This window comes from Homo sapiens, chromosome 11 (assembly GCF_000001405.40).
Source record: "Homo sapiens chromosome 11, GRCh38.p14 Primary Assembly".
Classification (NCBI taxonomy): Eukaryota; Metazoa; Chordata; class Mammalia; order Primates; family Hominidae; genus Homo; species Homo sapiens.
In genome coordinates this window covers 21,912,524-21,934,730 of record NC_000011.10, presented here as the reverse complement: position 1 = coordinate 21,934,730, position 22,207 = coordinate 21,912,524, and the positions used below count along the sequence as shown (strand labels likewise).

Here is a 22,207-nt window from a genome sequence, read left to right as displayed (position 1 = left end):
AGGTGCAGGTTCCATGTCCTCACTACACTGTAGTAGATTAAACTATGTTCCCCCTTCTATGGTCCTGGATCTCACGGTGGTCAGTCTAATACAAGAGACTATTGTTAGACAGTCTAGCACACGAGACTAGACTAGTACATAGGCAACTATAATATAAATTTATGGGATAAAATATGGGACATGCAAAGCATTTGGGAGCAAATAGGGAGGGCAACTAGCCCGTCATGGAAGATCATGGAAATGGCCATGTCTATTCTGAAACCTGAATTATAAGTTGGAGTTTGTCAGGCAAAAGAGAGAATAAACAAAAGAGGAAGTTGGGATGGTCAGAGTGAGTGTTTCAATAGAGAGGATAGTATGCATGAGAGCCCATAATAAAGGAGCATTGGCAGATGAGGGAACTATTTAATGTGACTCCAGGACAGAGCTGTGGCTATAACAATTATTGCACAGATTAGTTGTGAGAATTAGATAAACATACACACACACACATATATATATGTATATATGCCTTGCTTAGCCTTAAGTCAGTAGTTATGACAAATTCATGCTCAATTTCTTTTGTGTGTTGAGGGTTCCCTTGATCATGAGTCAATAAAAGTCATCTGAAACTGTGCTGTGAGTTACTTTGCAGTCTAAAAGCAAACTTCGTAAATGTGGAAAATCAAGAAAAAACCACTGATTAATTTTTTTCCAGGAAAAATGTAAGACAAAGAACATTAACCCAAAGCAATATTTTGAGCCACATCTTCCCTCTAAAGAGGTCAAGTAATGCTAAAAGAAAGGAAAAAAGGAAGAAGAGGAAGAGAAAAAGGAAGACAAAGAAAGAATATATACAACTTGGACAATGATATAGGCCATGAAAGGAATCTTGACCCTGTGACACTGCTGATCTTCAGGGTGTGCTATGCATATTGTAATCTATGAAGCTGTGCAGTGCACAACCTGTAGTTCAATATATGGTAACACTGTGCCACAAGTGAATATAAAATGTAGCCATGTTGTAGTCCATTTTGGGGAGAAGTTTCTGACTCAGTGATGATCAATACTAGAGTGAGTTAGACTGAAAAAAAAAAAAAAAAAAAAAACAAGATCCCCATCACCAGAAGTTTCCAAGTAGAGGTAGGTGTACCTTGTTCTACTAGGGATGTCACACGAAGGAGAGAGGCTGAGCAAAGTTATCTAAGACTTGTCCTGACTCATTCTAAAGTTCCATGTTCCCATGATATTTATATGTCTTTTGACTTTTTTCTTTTAAATGTGTGTGTATAATTAGAACATATTTTTAATGTAGAATATATAGAAAAGTAAAAAAATAAAAAATGTTTCTTTAATTGTGTAATGCACTACTTATACTTCACAAATGTTAACCAAAATACATATGCCACGCCAACTTTTTGGAGCATTTTCTTCCAGTTCATATTTGCTGCTCATTTGCTGATTTTTCCTCCCCCTAGTGGCAATCAGATAACACTAATCCTATTTTCCCCATTCATACTATTTGGATGTATTACCAATAATTGAAAATATTTTAATGGTTTCATTTAACTTTATGGAAAAGTTACTTACACATCTGCAAAGTGAGGGCTTCTCTGTTGTTTCAAAAGCCTATTAAGTTATCTAAAAGACCTTAATATTAAATACACTTAGATTTTGTAGTTGTTGATCAATGTGCCTGTCTTAGCTACTGAGACACAGCATTTTCGTCATAAAAGGCAGCAATTATGACATTCTGTAATGCGGCGGTCCCTAACCTTTTTGGCACCAAGTACTGATTTCATGGAAGACAATTTTTCCAACGGCTGGGTTTGGGGGTGGTGGGTTCAGGAATATTCAAGCACATTACATGTATTGTGCATTTTATTTCTATTATTATCACATGGTAATACATAATAAAATAGTTACACAACTCACCGTAACATAGAATCAGTGGGAACCCTGGAATTTTTTTCCCTGCAACTAGATTGTCCCAAATGGGGGTGATGGGAGACAGTGACACCCCAAGTGTGTTGCTTATGTCCAGTCTACTCTGTAATCTTATTTTGGTTGCTGTCACTGCAGAAAACCCTGCTTCACAAAGATAGGATGTTGGAAATAGAAGCAGGTTTTTCAGTGCTTTCGTGGCAATCTCAGTATATTTTGCCTTGACTTTAATCCAGAATGTGTAAAGACTTGAAGTTGTCTCAAACATACTTTTAAGGCCACCTCGATTTGCGATTTCAAGCAGTTGATCCTCTTCCAGCACAGACAAAGTCAATTCACCTGGCTTATTCACAAATGGGTTGCAGATCCATTCCTTCCCAGTTGTGGAGGTGGGTCTTTTGTGGTTGGGAAATAATGTTCAGACTCTCTTGAAAGCTGAGATAGGTGATCATGCACCAGCTGGAAGAAAGAAGGCCCTGGCTCAGTATCTTTCAAAATTTCTTCTAATTTTTGAAACATGTCAAAAATCCCAACATTCGCTCATTGCCCCCATTAATTCCAGTTTGGCATTGGATGCAACCACTTTATATGCAGACTTGAACACAGTTGTAATTCTCCCCTGAGGTGACAGATTGAGTTCATTGAGCAGGTTGAATATGCCATCAAATAAGCAAGTCTTGTGACCCATTCTGTGCCACTAAAATGTGCTACTCAAAGACTCTGGCCAGTGATCTACCTTTAGAAAGCCATCTCACTTCTGCGTATACGAGAAGACGTATGCGCTCTGCGTCCATATACTCACAGAGCTGCGCAAACAGAAGTGAGTTAAGGGGATGTACTTTAATGCGGTTGATGATTTTAATCACATACTGGAAAACGTTGTTAAATTTAGGTGACATTTTTTGGCTCATCAGCATTTCTCTGTGGATGACCCAGCGTGTAGACTCACATTAAGAAGTGACCTCTTTGACCCAAGTAGCGAAACCAGAAAGCCATCCAGTCATGGCAGCCACTCCATCTGTGCATATATCAATACCATATGACCAACTCAGTTTCCTGATACGTAATTACTCAAAGACTTCAGTAGTTCTGCAGCTGTGGTGTTGGTTGGCAACAGAAGTGCACATATCATACACATCCTCCTGAAAAATATATTGTACAAAAACAAGCCTTGTTGCTTTGTTGTCAACATCAATAGACTCATCAACCTGGACTGCATACCACAGTGACTCACTAATCCTCTCTAACAATTATGCCTCAATATCTTCTGCTATTTCATCAATTCATCTAGTTATGGTGCTAGCTGAAAGAGGAACATGTGCCACCTTTGGAACTGCAGCCTCTCCTAAAAGTTCACAACAAATGTACTTAGCAGCAGGCAGAATCAACTCTTCACCAATAGTAAAAGTTTTCTTAGCTTCAGCAGTGCGATTAGCTACTAAGAATGATGCTCTCAGTGCACACACATTTGATGAAGTGGTGGCCTTCAATAATTGCGTCTGTTCTTTGTGTTTGTATTTTTCTTTTGAAAAACTTCAAAGGTGTGCCTTTTAATGCAGGGTGCTTAGTCTCCATGGGGCACAGCTGTTTTGAAAGTTTTATGGCTTCACTGAATAGCCGATTGCCATATATGATACAAAGCGGGCTTGGACAAGGTGAATCTCCTGTTGCAATGAAACCATAATTTAAGTAGAACTCTTGGTATTTTCTTTTAAATGCAGCTTTCTTTTTGTTGGCAGTTTTAGAGTCTTCTGCTGTCTCATCATTGGGTCTTTCCCCTTTTTCATAGAAGCTCTGTAGGGACGTTTGTTTTTTACTCATTTTAGCTAGGGTTAGCTTGCGGGCTTACCAACACCATGACAGAGACAAGTGCACAGTGTGGAAAAGAGGCACGAATGGAAGTGGTAAATAAAATAATGTGCAGGCCATCTGCAGACTAAAATAAGTGTCAGATTGTGACTTAAAGCCTGCCACCAGATGCAACAGACAATTGAAGTACATCAACTCACTTGCCAATATAAAGCCTGCTACCAGATGCAGCTTGTCACTTGCCACACACTTATTGTGTTTTGATATGAGTCTGTAAGCAATTGATTTATGATGGTCTCTGTGTAGTCAAACCTCTCTGCTAATGTTAATCTGTATTTGCAGCCACTCCCCAGTGCTAACATCACCACCTCAGCTCCACCTTAGGTCACTAGGCATTAGATTCTCAAGGAGCATGCAACCTATATCCCTTGCATACACAGTTCACAATAGGGTTTGTGCTTCTCTGAAAGTCTAATGCTGCCACTGATCTGACAGGAGGCAGAACTCAGGTGGTAATGCCAGCAATGGGGAGTGACTGTACATACAGATGAGGCTTTGCTCGCTCACTCAATGTTCACCTCGTGCTGTGTGGCCTGGTTCTTGACAGGCTCCGGTCCTTGGCCCTGGGGTTGGGGGCCCCTGCTGTAGTGGAATGAATGGTGGTCCCCAAAAACATACATTTATTTTCTAACCCCCAGAAACTGTTAATGTGACTCTATTTGGAAAAAAAAAATATTTTTACATATATAATTCAGTGGAAAATCTTGAGATAAGATTATCCTAATTTATCCAGGTTGCCCTAAATTCAATGACATGTATTCTTATAATAAGCAAATGAAGAAAAAGGCACAGCCATTGAAAAGAAAGCTTTGTGAAGACAAACCCAGAGATTGGAGTTTGGCAACCATAGCCAAGGAATACCTGAAGCCAGTAGACAGTGGAAGAGGGAAGGAAGGATTCTTCCTTAGAGCCTCCAGAGGCAGTGGGGCCCTGCCAACACCTTGATTTCAGACATATGGCTTCCAGAATTGTGAGACAAGAGACTTATGTTGTTTAAAGCTGCCTGTTTGCAGTGGTTTGTTATAGCAGCCACAGGAAAATAACACGTTCTTATATGTATTGTATCAAAATCACAACTGCCAATTGGTCATTTTTACCTGAGTAACACAAAAAATATCTTCGAATGTTAGTTTGAAGCTACCTGGCCTAAATTTTCTTAATTTTGACATTCAGTTTTAAGATGTTGCTTCTGAAATGTCATTTGCTTCCAACAAATAAAGTTTCTCTTTGCTCTGGAGATTGAAAGTACTCACATATAGGGTTGTGAAGAAGTTAAAATCTGATGCCAGCATGAGGGAAAATGCAAGGAGCCCCGGCAGAAAAACATAATATTTGAAGCAATGTCTGGATTATTTAATAAAATGTAGGACTTTCTCTTTCTTTCGCCCATTTCTAAATGTTTACATACAAATAACAACCCAACTTGATTATTGACTACGTATCCTTATCATTTTCACTCATGCAGAGCAGTGTTTCCTATAAATATTTATGGAAAAATTGTTCTTTTATGCACTTAAAATCCTTGCTTGATGGTCTTGAGTTGATTTCTGGCACTGTTCAATGTCAAGGGCACTGCAGTTTCCTCTGAACAAAACATCCTGGTTATCTGTAAAAATGCAGCTGCAGATGCAGGCTTTGCAGTGTTAGATCAAGAAGGCCAGCATTTCACAGAATCCTGAAAGTTGACAGATGGACACACAGACACACTCATACAGATGCACATGCACACATAATCTTCTACATACCAGTCTTTGTAGCTACGTTATTGTAGGTGGAGTATCTTGAAGCATGTAAGGAGAGCCACAGTACTGCATGTGTGCATGCACAATGTTTTTGGTTGTATTGACACACAGATGTGTCTTCAAATACCATGCAATCTTTTCAGACACTGGTAAGTAATAAGTAAGTGACACTTCTATTACACTGATTGACATTTCATTATCTAAATGCTTTGCCTTCTTTTTGCTTTGGGAATATTAGTCATCAGTTCCTCAAAGCAATTACACTGTCTGTGTTACTCCAGTTATTCAAAGGGCATCGGGGGATTATTTAAAAAAAATACTAAAATAAAACAAGTCCTTAGAATAATGTCCTGAGCTCAGAGAATTCGGCCACTGGAAAATAAATAAATAAATAAATAAATAATCTTGCAACTCCTATGTTACTTGAAGTTAGGAAAGGCAAATAAGTTATTTCAATCAGTGTCTCACCAGTGAGGTACAAGAATTGGGCAAGATCAATGAGATTTTTTTTTCCAGAAGTGAAAGTTGTGATTTTAAGAGTTGATGACACCTGTCATTATGCTGAATATGAAACTTTTATCAAAGTGTAGTTACCTCTCCTAACCTCATACCTTAGGAATAAACTACTATTTAGTTTTGCATAGCTGTATATTCAGGATGTCTTAAAAATTTCTAGAAGTATCTCTTTTGCTATTAATATTTCTCTTCTTGGTAGCTTCATAGGACATAAAAAAACATTATATTTCTTTGGTTCTAGGGTTATTATTGAATTTTTAAGTATGTTCAAATTCACTCTGTAATGATCTATATAAAGTGAAAGCACTGGGAGAATGAAAATACACATATAAACAATACACAAATGTGAAAGATGGATAACAGTGCATGGCATCAGGCTTGTGGGTTGATACTGGAATTTATTTAAGTTATGGTCACAAGTATAATGATGAGAAATCAAGAGGAAGGGACTGACCCAAAAGGGAGGCTCTTACCTAAGTTTCAATACAGGGCATAAATCGAGCAGCCTAGAGCAAGGACTTATGTGAAGGTGAGTATGTGCCAGAAAAGATACAACTGTAGAATGCCGGAGCTAATTGGGCCCTAGAGATCATCAAGTCTAGCCCCTTTCATTAAGACAACAAAAACTAATTTACTTTTTACTATCAGTTAGATGCTGAGTATTTAATGGTAAGCTGGAATAACAAGGAAGGCCCCCCTGCCTTCACTCATAATACATAATCAACCACGGGGAAAACATGGGCTCAGAAAGGGGAAGAGACTTGCTCCAGGTCATCCATCTCATTTGTACTGAGTGAATTCTACAATCTGGGTCTCTGGAATTCTTGAAATGGCTGCCAATAGCTATTAGGCAATAGCACTTATGGGTCACTGCCAACTACCTGACATTCAAATGCTTTGTCTTTTTAGCTGAATAAATTACGTGGCCTGGGCTATCCTTCCCTAAACCTAACTGAGCTACCTACATAGTTTCATGTTCACAAGGCACGTGGTCATCAAAGCCTTAACTGAAGATGACAGATTCAGCAACTAACTGTGCAAGCACAACTTGCCAAAAACTACTCCAGCGTCTAGCTTGACTGCACCCTAACCATCTATCATCAGAGATTTCAACTGCTAACTTTTTAAATTTTTTAAAAATTTTATTTATTTATTTTTTGAGACACGGTCTCACTCTGTTTCCCAGGCTGGAGCACAGTGGCATGATCATAGCTTATTGCAACCTTGACCTCCTGAGCTCAAGTGATCCTTCCACTTCAGCCTCCCAAAGTGCTGAAATTAGAGGTGTTAGCCACCATGACCAACCTCAACTGCTACCTTTTTAATACATATTTCTTCCAAATGACCTACACCTTGCAAAGAGCTCTCATGTTGCTGATATGCAGTTGCTTTTGGAGTGAATACATAAGTTTACTGAATATCCCATCTATAAAATAAGTTGCATAAGTTTACTGACTATCCCATCTATAAAATTTTCCAAATGACACGTTGGTAGATATTTAGAAGTGAAGTAACTCAGTTTTAAAGACAGTTGATAGCTTTTTCCTTGGGTCTGAGTCTGTGTGCTCTTGTGTAGGGAAAAAAAGGGTGGTTAAGGACTGGCGGAAAGGTCTCCCTGTTAAAAATATTTTCTCAGACATACTAATCACAGATCATTAGAATTGGAACATTTGCCCCATTTCCTTATGTTATATTTGAGGAACATCATACACAGAATTCAAGTGACAGTCACTTAGTGACAGAGCCCAGGAATTAAGTGGATATTCTGGTGTTAATCCCAGTGTTCGTTCTGTGTTCCACTGTTGTTGGTTATTTCTTCAAAATTATACATTGCCTCACATAGACAATCTCACTGTTCATGCTAAATTGAATGCAAGAGAGATTAAATATCATTGAGAAGATGTTTTGGTGCTAAGTGTCCGTAACACCAACTGTCATTGGCGGATACCAGCCATCCTTGCTTAAGTACAGGTCTAGTTCTTCACTGAGAGACACATTAAAATACATTTTAAATGAGTACTTGACTTTTTATTTTTATCCAAGCAAAAAAGCTCTCAAAGAGAGTAGTCAACATATATAACTAAGTTACATTAGCCAGCCCTTAGTAGATGCTCAGTAAATATTAGTTAGCTGACTAAATAGTCCAAGAGGAAACCTCAAAGATACTTGTAGCAATGAAGAGGCAACATAATTTGGTTTAAAGATCAGAGAATTTAGAATCTTAAGTTTGGGATCTTGGGCCTTTGCTTAAGGTGTTTAAAGCTCAGTTCCTTCGGTAAGAAAATTCAGAAAACAGTACCCACCTCTCAGGACTGTGGGGGAGATTAAATGAAATAATATTTAAAAGTCCTAACCCTTATATTAAATGCTACAAAATATACTTAATAAATACTGATTGTCATTTCTTGCTAGAATATATTTGCCTCTCAGAAGAAGTGGAATATTATTTTATGCAGTGGTTCTTGAAAGCTGAGAGATGGACTGACTGCATGACAGTCATCAGAGAAACTTGGAAAAATATAGATTCTTGGAATTTACCCCAACGTACTGAGTCAAAATATCTGAGAAAGGGGCCTGGGAACCTCAATGTTTGCTTGTAGCTCTTTAGGGCATTCTAATGTGCACCCTCATTTGGTAATACTGATTTTTTTATGAACAGCACTCCCTTGACTTAATGATCTAAATCCTCTTTCTGGAGGCTCCGTAACTCTGGTTACATTTTTTTTTTTTCTGAATACAGGTTGTTTTTTGGCTAATCTATTGCTTTTTTTTTTTTTTTCATATTTTAGGTGAGCATTTGAGTATTCTCAGCCAAGTAATAAACATGATGTAGCAAACATCTTTGGCCATAAATTGACATTTGTTATTTAATTTCTAAGTAAACTTAGGAGGGGACACGTGTGCACACACACACTTCTCTGGGAGAATATTATATATTCATAACTTAAGATGACTATGCTATAGGCAGACAAATAGATTTATTTATAAATAGATTTATCTTTGCAAGTGAAAGATTCAGTTATTTCTCTACTTTACAAATTACTTCTGTAATTGGTAAAAAAAACAGCAACGCACACCATTTGGTCATTTACTACCTAAATTATATATGCCTACTTGATTAGAAAACCAATTTTTATTTTCTTGTCACAGGGCGTGACTTCCAAGCATTCACTTTAATATTGTCACAAGAATTTTCCAAAAGATATCTGCCAAAATTGACACCTAATGAAACTTCTAGACACAACAAACATATTTTTTTGGCAAGTTAATTTGAAATGTCATTTTCCCTTAAGGGGGATAGCTAGACCTCTTTGTCAAATAGAATGAGTTTATGAGGCTACCTGAAGCCTGGTTCATGCAGTAGCACAAACTATTTCTGTGAATTTGGCCTAGTCACTTAATATCTTTGCATATAAATGATCTCGTGAAATAAAATTAAATATTGAATAAATAGTTTTTAAGTTTCTTCGAGTTTGACCTACTAATATTTTATGAGTTTATAGGTTTCCTTAACACTGGGGACAGGAACAATCTGGAATAAACTCTCTAAAATGAAACTGTACAGGTCTCATCAATGGAACAGGAAAAACAAAGATTTAGCTTCATAGATTTATTTAAATGAGAATTAAAAAAACTATAAATCTCACTGAAAATGTGCATGTGACTTATGGTTATCCAGAGGCTCAATTATAGGCTACCCTTTGAGAGTTATTAACTAGGAAGCATCCCAACAATAATGGGTAATTGCCTTAGAAAACCCAGTCTGGCATAGCTTGAATGAGTCTGGTTCCTATTCACAACCCATCATTTAAAAAGGATCCATCATTTAAAAAGGATACATCATTTAAAGGATAAATATAAAATATGAACTTTATAGTCCAATGAAATGATGCTCATCAAAATTTTGATGTTTCTTAAATCTACACAAAGTGGCACAAAGGGAGCCCGGAGCATAGCCAGGCAAGAGAAGGCTCCGATTTGACTTGTATTCTCCTTAATTTCCCACAGGATTCCTTCTCCCCACTGGGGGAAATATGGACGGTGATGAGGAGAATGATGACCAGCATAATGTAGGATGTCTAGTCATATTCCTTTAATACAATTAGAAATACATTCAGATCCCCAGCATGAGCTATCTATTGCAACCACTTTTCCTCAGCCAATTTATACTCAAATCCATCAATACCACTTAACATGCACTGCTGTTCAGGCTCATTTGGCATTTTCTTTCTTAGTCTCCAAGCATCATGCACATCAATGCATCAACATATTCACCATCACCCAGACAAGACTGCCTCTTCATAAGCTTTGTCTGTAGCATTTGCTCTTCCTTCACATTATTTGTCTATTTGTCCCTTTCTTATCTTTTACTCTTTTAAATTGTAGAAAAGGGAGGTTCCCACTATTTTGAAAATAAAAGGGAAATAGTTGAGCTCTAGCTACCTCCTTTAATGTTAAAAATTATTCTGTTCAGGCGATGAGTGGGTATATGTCCTTTGTTTGCCAAGATGTCACCCTTTTGTTCCTTTCCTTTCTCTTTCCACATAATTGCAATTCTTTCCAGAGAGCTTGTAAATCCCTGCGCCCAGGTTACCTGGCAGGACATACAGCTCCCCCAGTGTTATAATGCATTGACATAGTGTGTATGAGAAGTTAACTTTGACAGGAAGTTAGAAGATAAGAAAGGTTCTAGTAACTGGCTCTGTGACTCAGGGCAAGCTACTTCTTTCTGAGCTTTACTTTTTTCATTTGAATAATTAGGTAATTCAACTAAATCAGTAGATTTTGAGTGGACACTGCAAGGCCTGAACTAGAATATGAGAAAGAGACATGTGGTTTGGCCTTTTCAACACTCACTGGGTTTTCATTTGAAGGAAAATAAACAACAACAACAACAACAACAAAAACCACTAGGAAATGTTTAATGGCCTTTCTAGTCGTATGGTCCACAATTTGGGAAGTAACAGATTATGATAACCATAATAATGTTTTTAATATTGCTTCATGGTTTGTAAAGGATTTTGAATCCATGATATAGGAAATAAATGAAGCTCACCACAGTGAGAACAAGCAAAGGCTATTTATTCAGAGCTTACTAAAGTAAGGAAATCAGCCACCATCCCTTATTCTGGCAAAGACTCCAAGGCAGGCAGAAGAGAGAGAAAGCCTTACAGTGGAAAAAAAGGAAAACTTTGGTTATGCTGGCACAGGGAAGCTATAGACAAGCTAACTAGAAGCAGGGTATCGTATGTGATTGATTAGGTGTGCATATTTGGCTTTATCCCATTGTTCCTAAGTTGGAAATGAGGGCAAAAATTAGAAAAGCTTTCAGTTATTAGATTTCTCACTCTGCATGAGAGGTGACTCTCAGGGCAGCATCTTGATTTCTGATTAAAAAGGGGGAAAGAAGAGAATTGAAGAGTTGCAAGAACCACTGTCACCTAGAGCAGTCAGGAAATTTAAACCAATTTCCAGGTATTAAAGAGGATCTAAAGAGGGAGAAAGGCATCTGTGTGACCTGTGTTATCACTTGTGCTCACAGAGGACTAAGAGTGAGGGTTAGTAATTGTCTGATGTTTGGAAAATTGTAAAATGTGTCTTGTTTAATTTTTGAAAGCACTGCATTTCGGTGGCTCCTTAGAATGGTCTTTAAGGGGGTGCTTTCATCTAAACAGTCATTCCAAACTCCAAGAGACAAGATATTTAAAAAGAAGAGTGACTTGACATATATACAGTAGCCACCTCCGTGATAAAGTACCGAAGGCTCTTTTTCCTCAGATTATCTTCCTAGATGGGCCTGCTACAGTACCAGATAGCCTCTCATTACTCCTTCCAGGGAGTGACTGGGGCCTCAGAGTGTAGTGGAAGGGATGAAAGACCAGGGGTCAGAAGACCTGGATCTTCTCTGGGCTCTTCCATGTACCATGTGACTTTAAGCTAATCTCCAACCTTTGTTGACCTTGATATTCTCACTGTAAAGGATGAGGTAATCATTCCCACCCTGCCTTCCTCTGTGAGATTATTGTCAGCCAAAAAATAAGATTATTGATGGCAAGAGGTCTTACAACTTTTAAAGATGCTTACACCTTTTGCTTCTTCTGTCCCTGATTTCTCCCCCTGACTTTCCACCCTCTTCCCTTCATCTCTTATTATCTTCTCTTTTCCTCATTTCCTTTTTTCCCACTTTATTTCAGATATGACTAAAGGCAGATAGTAATTCATTAAGTTGATTAGCCAACCTGTCACTTAACAGAGATGTGAGAGAAGTGAAAAAGAGACAAGTAAGTTTCATTTAGTCTCTAGAGGCAGGACTTGGGACTTCCAGAATGGCTGTGCGAGGAGGTTGGTGGATTATCTCCCTGGGGAAAAAAGTCATTTAACTAGTTATAATTATAAAACATAAACAATCCACTGAAATCTCTGAAAGTTGTCCTAACAGCATGCATCAAATGGAGAAACAGGGGTACGAGACGCCCTATGAAATCTGAACAGGAAGAGTGAGAATCTGCTGCATTTAGGCCAGGCCAGGCCAGGACCTGCTCCTATCCCATGCACAGCTTCCCCATCAGCTCTCAGATTTAGAACTGCTTGTTCAGGTGCTCTATTTTGGGTGGTTATGGCCAAGAAGACAAGGCTGTCTGTCCCTGCAATTCCTAGTCTCGGGCAACCAACAGTTTTACTCTGAAAGGAGCAGGCCACAGGCATCTCTTAGATCTGCCCTCCAAACTCCATGTTACAAGTTTTATTTTGGGTGAGCATGGTCGAGAGGAATGAGGCTCCCTTCCCTCACCCAAGTTTCCACTCATTGGACAAAAGCCCTGCCTTAGACACAACAGGTCAAAACTCTTGGGGCCCAACTTGTTTATAGTATAGAGGTTTTATGCTGGGAAGGACAAGCTGAGAAGATAAAAGGCTGCTGTACCCCTGAGTGCTGCTAAAGTAAAGGAGTCAAAGGACTGCTGTTCCCAACTCCCAGCTTTCAGCTTCATGGCTCTGACTAAACGGACTGACTTTACTTGGCACAAAGCATGAGGGAGTTCATGGCTAAAGATAAATGCAGATTTTGTTAACAAGTGATTAAGAGTAGCTGGTAGTTCTATGATCCTATTGAAATTAAAAATGGAAGACCAGCCAGAAGTAATAACAGAAAAAGACAGCCAAGGAGACACCTCTTGGGATCACACTTATCCCTGGGGGTGTGAAAGGGAGTGTGCATACACTAGGCTGCATTCATTTCAAGTAATCAGAATGGGACATGGGGCGGAATGGAAAGAATTCCTTAAGCAACACAGAGATCCATCAGCAAAAGGGAGAAGCCTCACTGACTCAAGAGGATTAAGCACAACATCTAACTAAACACTAGCTGAACAATGTAATCCTCTGATCCAGGGTCAATACCTAGAAACCAGGCTTAAAAGTAATCACTCTCCACCCTGGTGGTCTGGAAGAGTGTGCCTGGCCAAAGCTGAGCCCTCTCATGAATAACTGGAGAGGAAACTTCTGAGCTATTAGTCCCTGGTTGAATGTGAAACATAAACTTCCTGAATTATGAAAGCAATATCCAAAATATCCAAGCCACACACACACACACACACACACACACACACACACATATCCAGAGGTAATGAGTGGTGGAAATTTAACTGACCAATGGGGCTGAAGCACAACCTTTAACCAATATTTGGGGTTTATGGACTCAGGGGCTAATCTCAGGAAACTGAGCTAAAAGACGCAAACAAGGAGAAAAATTTTGAGAAGGGACATCTGAGGCTGCACATGGGAGGGAAAATGGGCTTCACAAAATCAATTCAGACAAATTACTAATAAATAAACAAAACAAATGCCAAAACAAACAATAGCAACAAGTCACAGAGGCAGAGGAGTCAATATATAATTCAAAGTGCTTAGCACATTGCCAGGCTCATATTAATCACTAGTTTAGAGTCAAACTGACTGAGTCCTAACATTGTTCTGATACTCACTTGCTGTGTGATCTGTGCAAACTGCTTTTCTCCTCTGTGTCTTAGGTTTCCTGTAATTCAGTGATAATCATATTTATACTTCAGGGTTGTTGTGAAGATTAAATTAATTATGCACGAAAATAACTGACACGTAGTCTATGCCCAAGTAATATTAGCTATTATCATAATTAGGTATGGGTTTTCCTCTTTTCCATATATAGTGTGTGCTGGTTACCGAAATCCCTCTAATAGATTACTATCCACTTTGAATCAATTATGAATGCTTTTAAAATGTCAATAGTCCTGGGAAGGTTTGTCTACGATGTCATGGACACTTGTAATAAATATGTTCACCACTTTTTCATTGCCAGAGACTAAATGGGGCAGGAAAGCTTATGTTTGACCAAAAGAAAGGGGAACATCATGATGGAAAGAAGAGAGCCAAGGAGGTTAGCAGATGCTAAATGACACATTTCACTGATGTTGCATTTTCACTTAGTCCAAGACATCTATGCCCACCCTAATGAGTTAGAACAGAATTCTGGAGGTGAGTGGCATTCAATTGCATAGATCAAGTCTTTCTGATTTCTCTAAAACTCAACATCCCATTGCTTGTTGCTAGGTAAGCTAATCCTGTGATTTATTTTTGATTGTGAATAGACAGAAAGACAAACTATATCACAAGATCCCTCTAGAACACTGCAGGATTATTTGGCTCAGCATTTCTTACAAGCCAAACGCTAGATCAACATCACCATCCATGATTCCATTTGCTGGCATTAAAGCCCAAATCTTCCCCAGAGCTTTTCTGACTGCAGAACAGGTCTTGCTAAGAAATAAACTTAAATGCTTTATTACAAAAGGAAAAATGCAGGAAACGGAAAGCCACCAATCTCCCTTACACTAGGCTCACGAAGAAGGGAAATACAATCTTTCTTGCAACTAGAATTTGGTTTCCTTGGTTTTAGCCATAGACATGACAATAAATATAAATTGCCTCAGGGCACATTTTTATTTAAAAAATCCCATTTACAAAGGTTAGCAGTTGCATTACAATTTGAGTAAGGTTTATAAAAAAATGGCTTTATGTGCTGGGTACTTGTTTTACTTCTGAAAACAAATTAGCCATCATTCTGTGCTCCTGATTAGAGCTTTGTGTTTCCTAGAAGCCTTATTCTTTTAATTATTCTCAAAGTTTATAAAACAGATGAGAACTTTTTCCTTTTTATTATTTACATTTATTAAAAGCTACTCTAAAAATTTTCAAACATTAACAAAATAAGGACAATGGTGTGAAAAACCCCACAAACACATCTTTCAGACTCAAGAATTATTTAGGTTTTGCCACACTTGCTTTATCTGTCTCTTTATATTCAATTTTCTTTTCTACTTGTTTTTTCTTTTAAACACAAATCCTTGTAACCATCTAATACTTAGTTTATAATCATATTTCCTCAGTTGTTTCCTTACAACTTAAAGTATGGGTTGCTTCAATAAGGGTTCAACCCACGTCTATCATTACATATGGTTGTTATGAATCTGAGCCTCTTTAATGCTGGACTAGTACATTTCCTTTTTTTCATGCTATTGATTTACGCAAAAAGAAAACAAAATAGGTCAGCCAATTTGAAGGACGTTCCATATTGAAGATATGTCTTTGTTTTTTCTAACCTTATTATTTCCTGAAAACTGGAAATGAGCTCTCATGACTTACATTCTACTAGAATCAGGTTCAACCATTTGGTAAGAATATTTTACAGATGGTGCTAAATATTTTATATTCACCATATCAAGAGACACAAAATATGTAACTATCTCTTGGTGATGCTATGATTTACCTGTGAGTTCAGGGTGTGACAGCCCCATCCTCTTATTCTTTTTCTTATCAGCATTTCCCATGATTGTCTCCTGTTTTTAATTATTGGTGCCAGCCCCAATGATTAAATGGGAAATTGCAAAATATTTGTAATTCTATCATTTCTTCTACATATATTAGTAATAATTATTTTAACAAAGAATAACTTTTCAATATTTAGATAATAGTATGATTTGAGCAAACTGAAAAACAATTGCAATAAGAAAAGCATTTAATTCTTAAGTTGTTAGAGAAAGGATTTGGGGCCTGTTACTTCTAATACAACCAATTAATTGGGAGAGGTGTGGATAGCTCTCTTCTCCTACCTCTTTCTTTCTTTCTACATATCATCATAATTTTACAGGTATTTATATATGAAATGAGTCTGAATCAATTTCAATTATTATTTTTTCAATGCTTAACTTTTGTCATTTTTGAATCTTTGGCCATTAGAAGTCCCTTCATGTTTGACAGTGACCCTTTGACATGACATATGTCTTTGTGCATCCCCTTTCTTTCCAGCAAAAAGAAATGACAGACTTATGGAGTACCTATGTTTCCCCACATCTGGGATTAGACATTACCTCTGGGGCTCTGGGCCCACAACCTGGGAACTAGATGAACTAAGTGTTCTCAAACTCTCATTACTTTCAAACATTTCCTGTTGTGAAAGTTAGAAAGTATGTATCTTAAGAAAAACAGTAATGAATTTATTCTAGTATGTCCTATTAAAATTTGCTGCTATGTTTTTTAAAAGCACACAAATAACTCTTTTACCTGTGTTTTTAATTATGGCCTTTAGTTTATAAAGTTTTCTTGTTTGGTTAAATTCTACCTTGTCTGATATCAGAATTACAACTTCTTCTTTTCATTTGTATTTTCTTCATGTATCTTTGCCCATCCTTTTATTTTTAACTTTTCTAAATCATTTTATATTAGGTGTGTCTCTTGTGTTCAGCAAACAATTGGATATGAATTTGTTAGCCAATCTAAACATCTTTTTAGTTTTTTTAATAAAGCTAAGCACATTTATATTTACTAATGAGCTACTCAAAATTCTAATTTCTGTCATACGATTTTGCATTATATTTATATAATCACACACTTACACACAGTAAATCTTTCACTACATTATGATTTTTTTAAATGTTGATGGTATTTATTTTGGTTTTTAGGATAGTTTATCTTTTTGTTCTAGTGGTTTTCATTATACCAATACCTTTCTTTATATAATATCCATAGCACTGTCTTTTCTGGATGATGTCTATTAGCTACTTACAATGAACAATAATGAAGATAGCTAGCATCAATTTTTCTCATTTTCTCTCCTCCATTACTTAATTTCAATGACAAACATTACCTTAAAGATATTTTCGACTCTTTAAAAATGCTTAAGCTTTTGTTATTTCATTTTTCTTACAAGTCAATACTAATGAGGTCATCAGCAACCATATTCCATTATCCACTTAGTCTCATCTTCTCCCATTTTTGTTATTTATATTACATTTATATTGTCAGATTATATAACATTTACAAACTAGTTTGTCATCTTTATCTTGTTGATTTATTCCTCAAAGCTCACTACTGGGATCTACACTATAGCTTATCCAGTCATTTTGGGTGCCTGAGATTTCTAAGGCATTTCTTAGGGAGCATTTATGAGACCAATATTCCCTAAATGGTCAGGAGACATTTTGGAAGATTAAGAAACTACACTGTTACTGTGTGTATTAATCCATTCTCACACCACTATAAGGACATAACTGAGACTGCGTAATTTATAAAGGAAGAGGTTTAATTGACTCACAGTTCTGTAGGGCTGGGGAAGCTTCAGGAAACTTACAATCATGGCAGAAAAGGAAGAAAATATGTCCTTCTACATATGGCAGCAGCAACAAGAATTATAAGCAAAGGGGTGGGGGAAAGCCCCTTATAAAGCCATTAGATCTCATGACAACTCACTCACTATCATGAGAACATCATGAGAGTAACTGCTACCATGATTAAATTACTTCCCAAGGGGTCCTTCCTATGACATGTGGGGATTATGGGAACTACAATTCAAGATGCAATTTGGGTGTGGACACAGTCAAACCATATCATTCTGCCCCTGGCCCCGCCCAAAGCTCATGCATGTCCTCACATTTTAAAACACAATCATGCCCTTCCAACAGTCCCCTGAAGTCTTAACTCATTCCAGCATTAACTCAAAAGGCAAAGTCCAAAGTTTCATCTGAGACAAGGGCAGTTTCTTCCACCTATGGGCCTGGAAAATCAAGAGCAAGTTAGTTACTTCCTAGAGACAATGGGTGTACAGGCATTGGGTAAATACAGTTGTTGCAAGTGGGAGAAAATCACCCACATAAAGGAGGTACAGACCCCATACAAGTCCAAAATCCAACAGGGCAGTCATTAAACCTCAAAGTTCCAAAAGTATCCCCTTTGACTCCATGTCTCACATCCAGGTCACACTGATGCAAGAGGTGTGCTCCCACAGCCTTGGGCAGCTCTGCCCTGTGGCTTTACAGGCTATTGACCCCCTCTTTCATGATACTTTCACGGCCTTGAATTTCTCCCCAGAAAATGGGTTTTTCTTTTCTATCACATTGATAGGCTGCAAATTTTCCAAACTTTTATGCTCTGCTTCCTCTTGAATGCTTTGTCACTTAGAAATTTCTTCTACCAGATACCCCAAATCATCTCTCTCAAGTTCACAGTTCACAGATCTCTAGGGCAGGGGCAAAATGCTGTCAGTCTTTTTCATAGCAAGAGTGACCTTTACTTCAGTTCCCAATGAGTTCCTTATCTCTGTCTGAGACCACCTCATCATGGACTTTATTGTCCATATCACTATCAGCATTTGGGTCAAAGCCATTCAACAAGTCTCTAGGAAATTCCAACCTCTCCCACATCTTCCTATCTTTTGAGCCCTCCAAGTCTCTAGAAACTTGTAAACTTTCCCACATTTTCCTGTCTTCTTCTGAGCCCTCCAAGTTGTTCTAACCTTTCCCTGTTACCCAGTTCCAAAGTGACTTCCACATTTTCAAGTATCTTTACAGCAGCGCCCCACTACCGGGTACCAATTAACTGTATTAGTCCATTCTCATGCTGCTAATAAAGAGCTGCCTGAGACTGGGTAATTTACAAAGGAAAGAGGTTTAATTGGCTCACAGTTTAGCATGGCTGGGGAAGCCTCAGGAAACTTACAATTATGATGGAAGAGGAAGCAAACATGTCCTTCTTCACAAGGCAGCAGGAGATAGAAGAATGAGCAAAAGGGGTAAAGCCTTTTGTAAAACCATCAGATTTCATGAAAACTCACTCACTATCATGAGAATAACGTGAAGGTAACTGCTTCCATGATTAAATTACCTTCTACTGGGTCCCTCCCAAGACACGTGGGGATTATGGAAACTACTATTCAAGTTGAGATTTGGGTGGGGACACAGCCAAACTATATCACTGTGAGGCACTGCTGGCAGTCCTAGAATAGATATTTATTAGGTACCAACCATGTCAGGTGATTCAGTGATTGTTAAACTGAAGCTCTTGCCTTCAAGAATTTCACAGCTTTTATTATGTAATAGTGTTCTTTTGCGCTAGGAATCTCAGAGTTCTGCTAAGGTATTTCCTTGTTCAGGTAAATTATCAGCTATATTTCTGAACACCAGATTTCGGACTCTTCAAGATCAATCTATTCCTTTGCATCTGGCCCAGGCTACAGCCCTCCAGATGACTAAGAGTTGCACTAATGTTCATGGAGATTCATGTCAGGGCTGGAGAAACTTTATGGTCTCTATAAGAAACCACCGGACCATACTAGATTTTAAAATATCTCAAATTTATCCATGATCTCTTTTTCATTCTCTTGCTAAACTCCTTTTTCTTGTCAGCTATCTGGTGTCATGAGGCTACCTGCCCTTTTCCCAATGCATACACAATGCTGTAAACCTTCCTTAGTTTATCTCCCTATTTCCATCAAGGTTGAATTGAACTTTATTCCATTTACCCAGGACATTACTCTTATCCAATTCACTGTACTAACTCAGGGAATGAAAATAGATTTCATTTTCTATGCAAACTTTCATACAGTGTGCATAAAAATACTGCACTAAAACAGCTTCTAAGGCCACATCCCATCTCAGTAGGGCTACTGTAATTAATTATGGATGTTTGCCAAAGGATGAAGGAATGCCAGATGGAAACCCTGTTATTTGCGAACCTACACTAACTCATGATGATACTGTGCTACTTTATATGACCTGGCTCACTTATATTATGAGCTCTTTTAAGATTTGGGGCTCATTAAGTATTTGAATTTTTAATCAGATAGCAACAAGAAAATATGAGGAAAATTTCAACGTAGACACTCCCATTTCTTGAAGACTTTGAGAGAGTAAATATTTTTGGTTGATTAAATGACATGGTCATCTTTTTGATACTTAATGGCATTAACTAAATGTCTTAAGTAAAGTTCTTGGTATTCAGTGATGAAAAGCATATTTACTTTAGAGTTTAATTTTAATTACGGAAACAAGCTAATAAACAAAATTAATATTATATCATAGTTATTTGTAAGAGCTTTGTGCATTTGCTTTGGGAACATCAAAAAGGTCTAGTTCAGAAAATCAGGTCAGAGAAATCTTCCCGGGGGAATGGTGTTTAAGCTGATTGCTAAAGGATAAATTGGATTTGGCAAATACAGGGTGCTGATGAGGGAGAGTTTTTGCAAGAACAGAGAACACTTGGCACTAAAGCATGATGTACTTGTAGAGCTAGTAATTCACTTCAGTGTGAATGTAGAGTAGGATGCAAGTGGGAATGTAGAGAACTGAGACTACAGTGACAGGCAGAGACCAGCCATTATGTGGCAGAGACACACATCATGTGTCCTTGTGCCAACTTGAGGCTTGTATTTAAACAATCCCTGTTAAAACAGACTATGGGAAGCTCCAAGATATTTTAAGCAGAAAATGCAATAATAAGAATGAAAGATTTTGTAATAAAATATGCAGGTTAAAACTATAGACCTAGCATTCATTAATTCATCTAACTACTTACCATCTAATAAATAAGCATCTACTATGTCTTCACCACTATTCTAGGAACTGAGGATTTAATAGTTAGCAATAGCAGACATGATCCCAGTTCTCGTGGTTGTAAATTCAGCTTGCCTTTCTTACTTTTAGATCCATTCCTCTGGTATACTCTAGCCTGCCTTTATTTACATTATTAATTTATCTATTGATTAGCTTACTCCAATTTTCTTGCTGACACTTAAAAATATCTTCCTATTTAGAAAGTAATAAAAATATACAAAACCAATAAACCTACTAGCCAAACAAACGAACAAACAACTCGCTCTTCATCACACTCCTTCTATTGTGGAATTTCCTTGCTCCTCTTCATAGAACAGCCAATTACTTCCTCCCCTTTCTCTTCATCCCAAGAAGGATTTTGTTCCTACCATTTCACCAAAACAGCTTTTATCAAGGTCGTTGCTCTCCATCTTTGCAAACTCATGATGAATTCTCTTTCTCTACCTCTTCAATCTCTCAGCAGCGTCTGATACTCTTTCTTGCAGCACTTTCTCACCAAGCTTTGTGACTCAACACCCTCCTGTTTTCTCTGTAATACCTTCCAGATTTCTCCCTCTCAGACTTCTTTGTTGACTTCCCTCAATCTGTCCGGACTCTAAAAGTTGCAGTGACACATGGTCTGTAATCCCCTGTCCTTCTTCATCTAGATTCTCTATTTAATTGATTTTATTTAGTTTCATAGCTTAAATGCCACTTGTATATTTATAACTCCCTGATGTATATATCTTATTTTACTCCCAGGGCTCCAGAAATGCGCAAATGTCTTCTCAATGTTTCCACTTGAATGTCTCATAGACATGCCAGGCTAAACATACACATCCAAAATAAAACTTAAGATTCTTCACTATCCACTTTCCCTCAGATCTGCTTCTTCCCCAGTCTTTATCACTTGAGTAAATGGCACCACAATTCACTGGCCAACAATTTAGGAGTCAGCCTTGGTGCATGTCTTTCCCACTTGCCACTCTTCACATTCAACTCTTAGCAAGCCTTGTTAGCTTCTTGCAAAATATATTCAAAATACAACCCCTTTTATCATACCCTCTGCAGCTTCCCTAGCTACTATCATGCTGCCTTAGAGTGAGCATAATAACCTCCCAATGAGTTACCTTGCTTTGTTTCTGCTCCGCATAGTCTCTTCAGAGAGCAGCCAGTGTTGTTTCTCAAATGCAAATATGGACATATTCCACAGGCCTTTTCTCCTACTTCTGCTAGTATCTTCCCATTACAACTGCAACATTG

At 37.8% G+C, this 22,207-nt stretch overlaps 2 long non-coding RNA genes across 5 annotated transcripts in view; both read right to left on the bottom strand.

Annotated features, from left to right (window-relative positions):
• The window catches only part of LOC102723370 (uncharacterized), a 366,694-nt gene that overhangs the window by 185,169 nt on the left and 159,318 nt on the right, over positions 1 to 22,207 (bottom strand). The gene's annotated exons all lie outside the window — the stretch shown is intronic.
• LOC105376587 (uncharacterized) lies at positions 1,996 to 22,136 on the bottom strand. The gene is made up of 2 exons (XR_931117.3): positions 22,075 to 22,136; positions 1,996 to 2,382 (listed from the first exon to the last, which is right to left on the bottom strand). It is a non-coding gene; the product is annotated as an uncharacterized LOC105376587 (long non-coding RNA).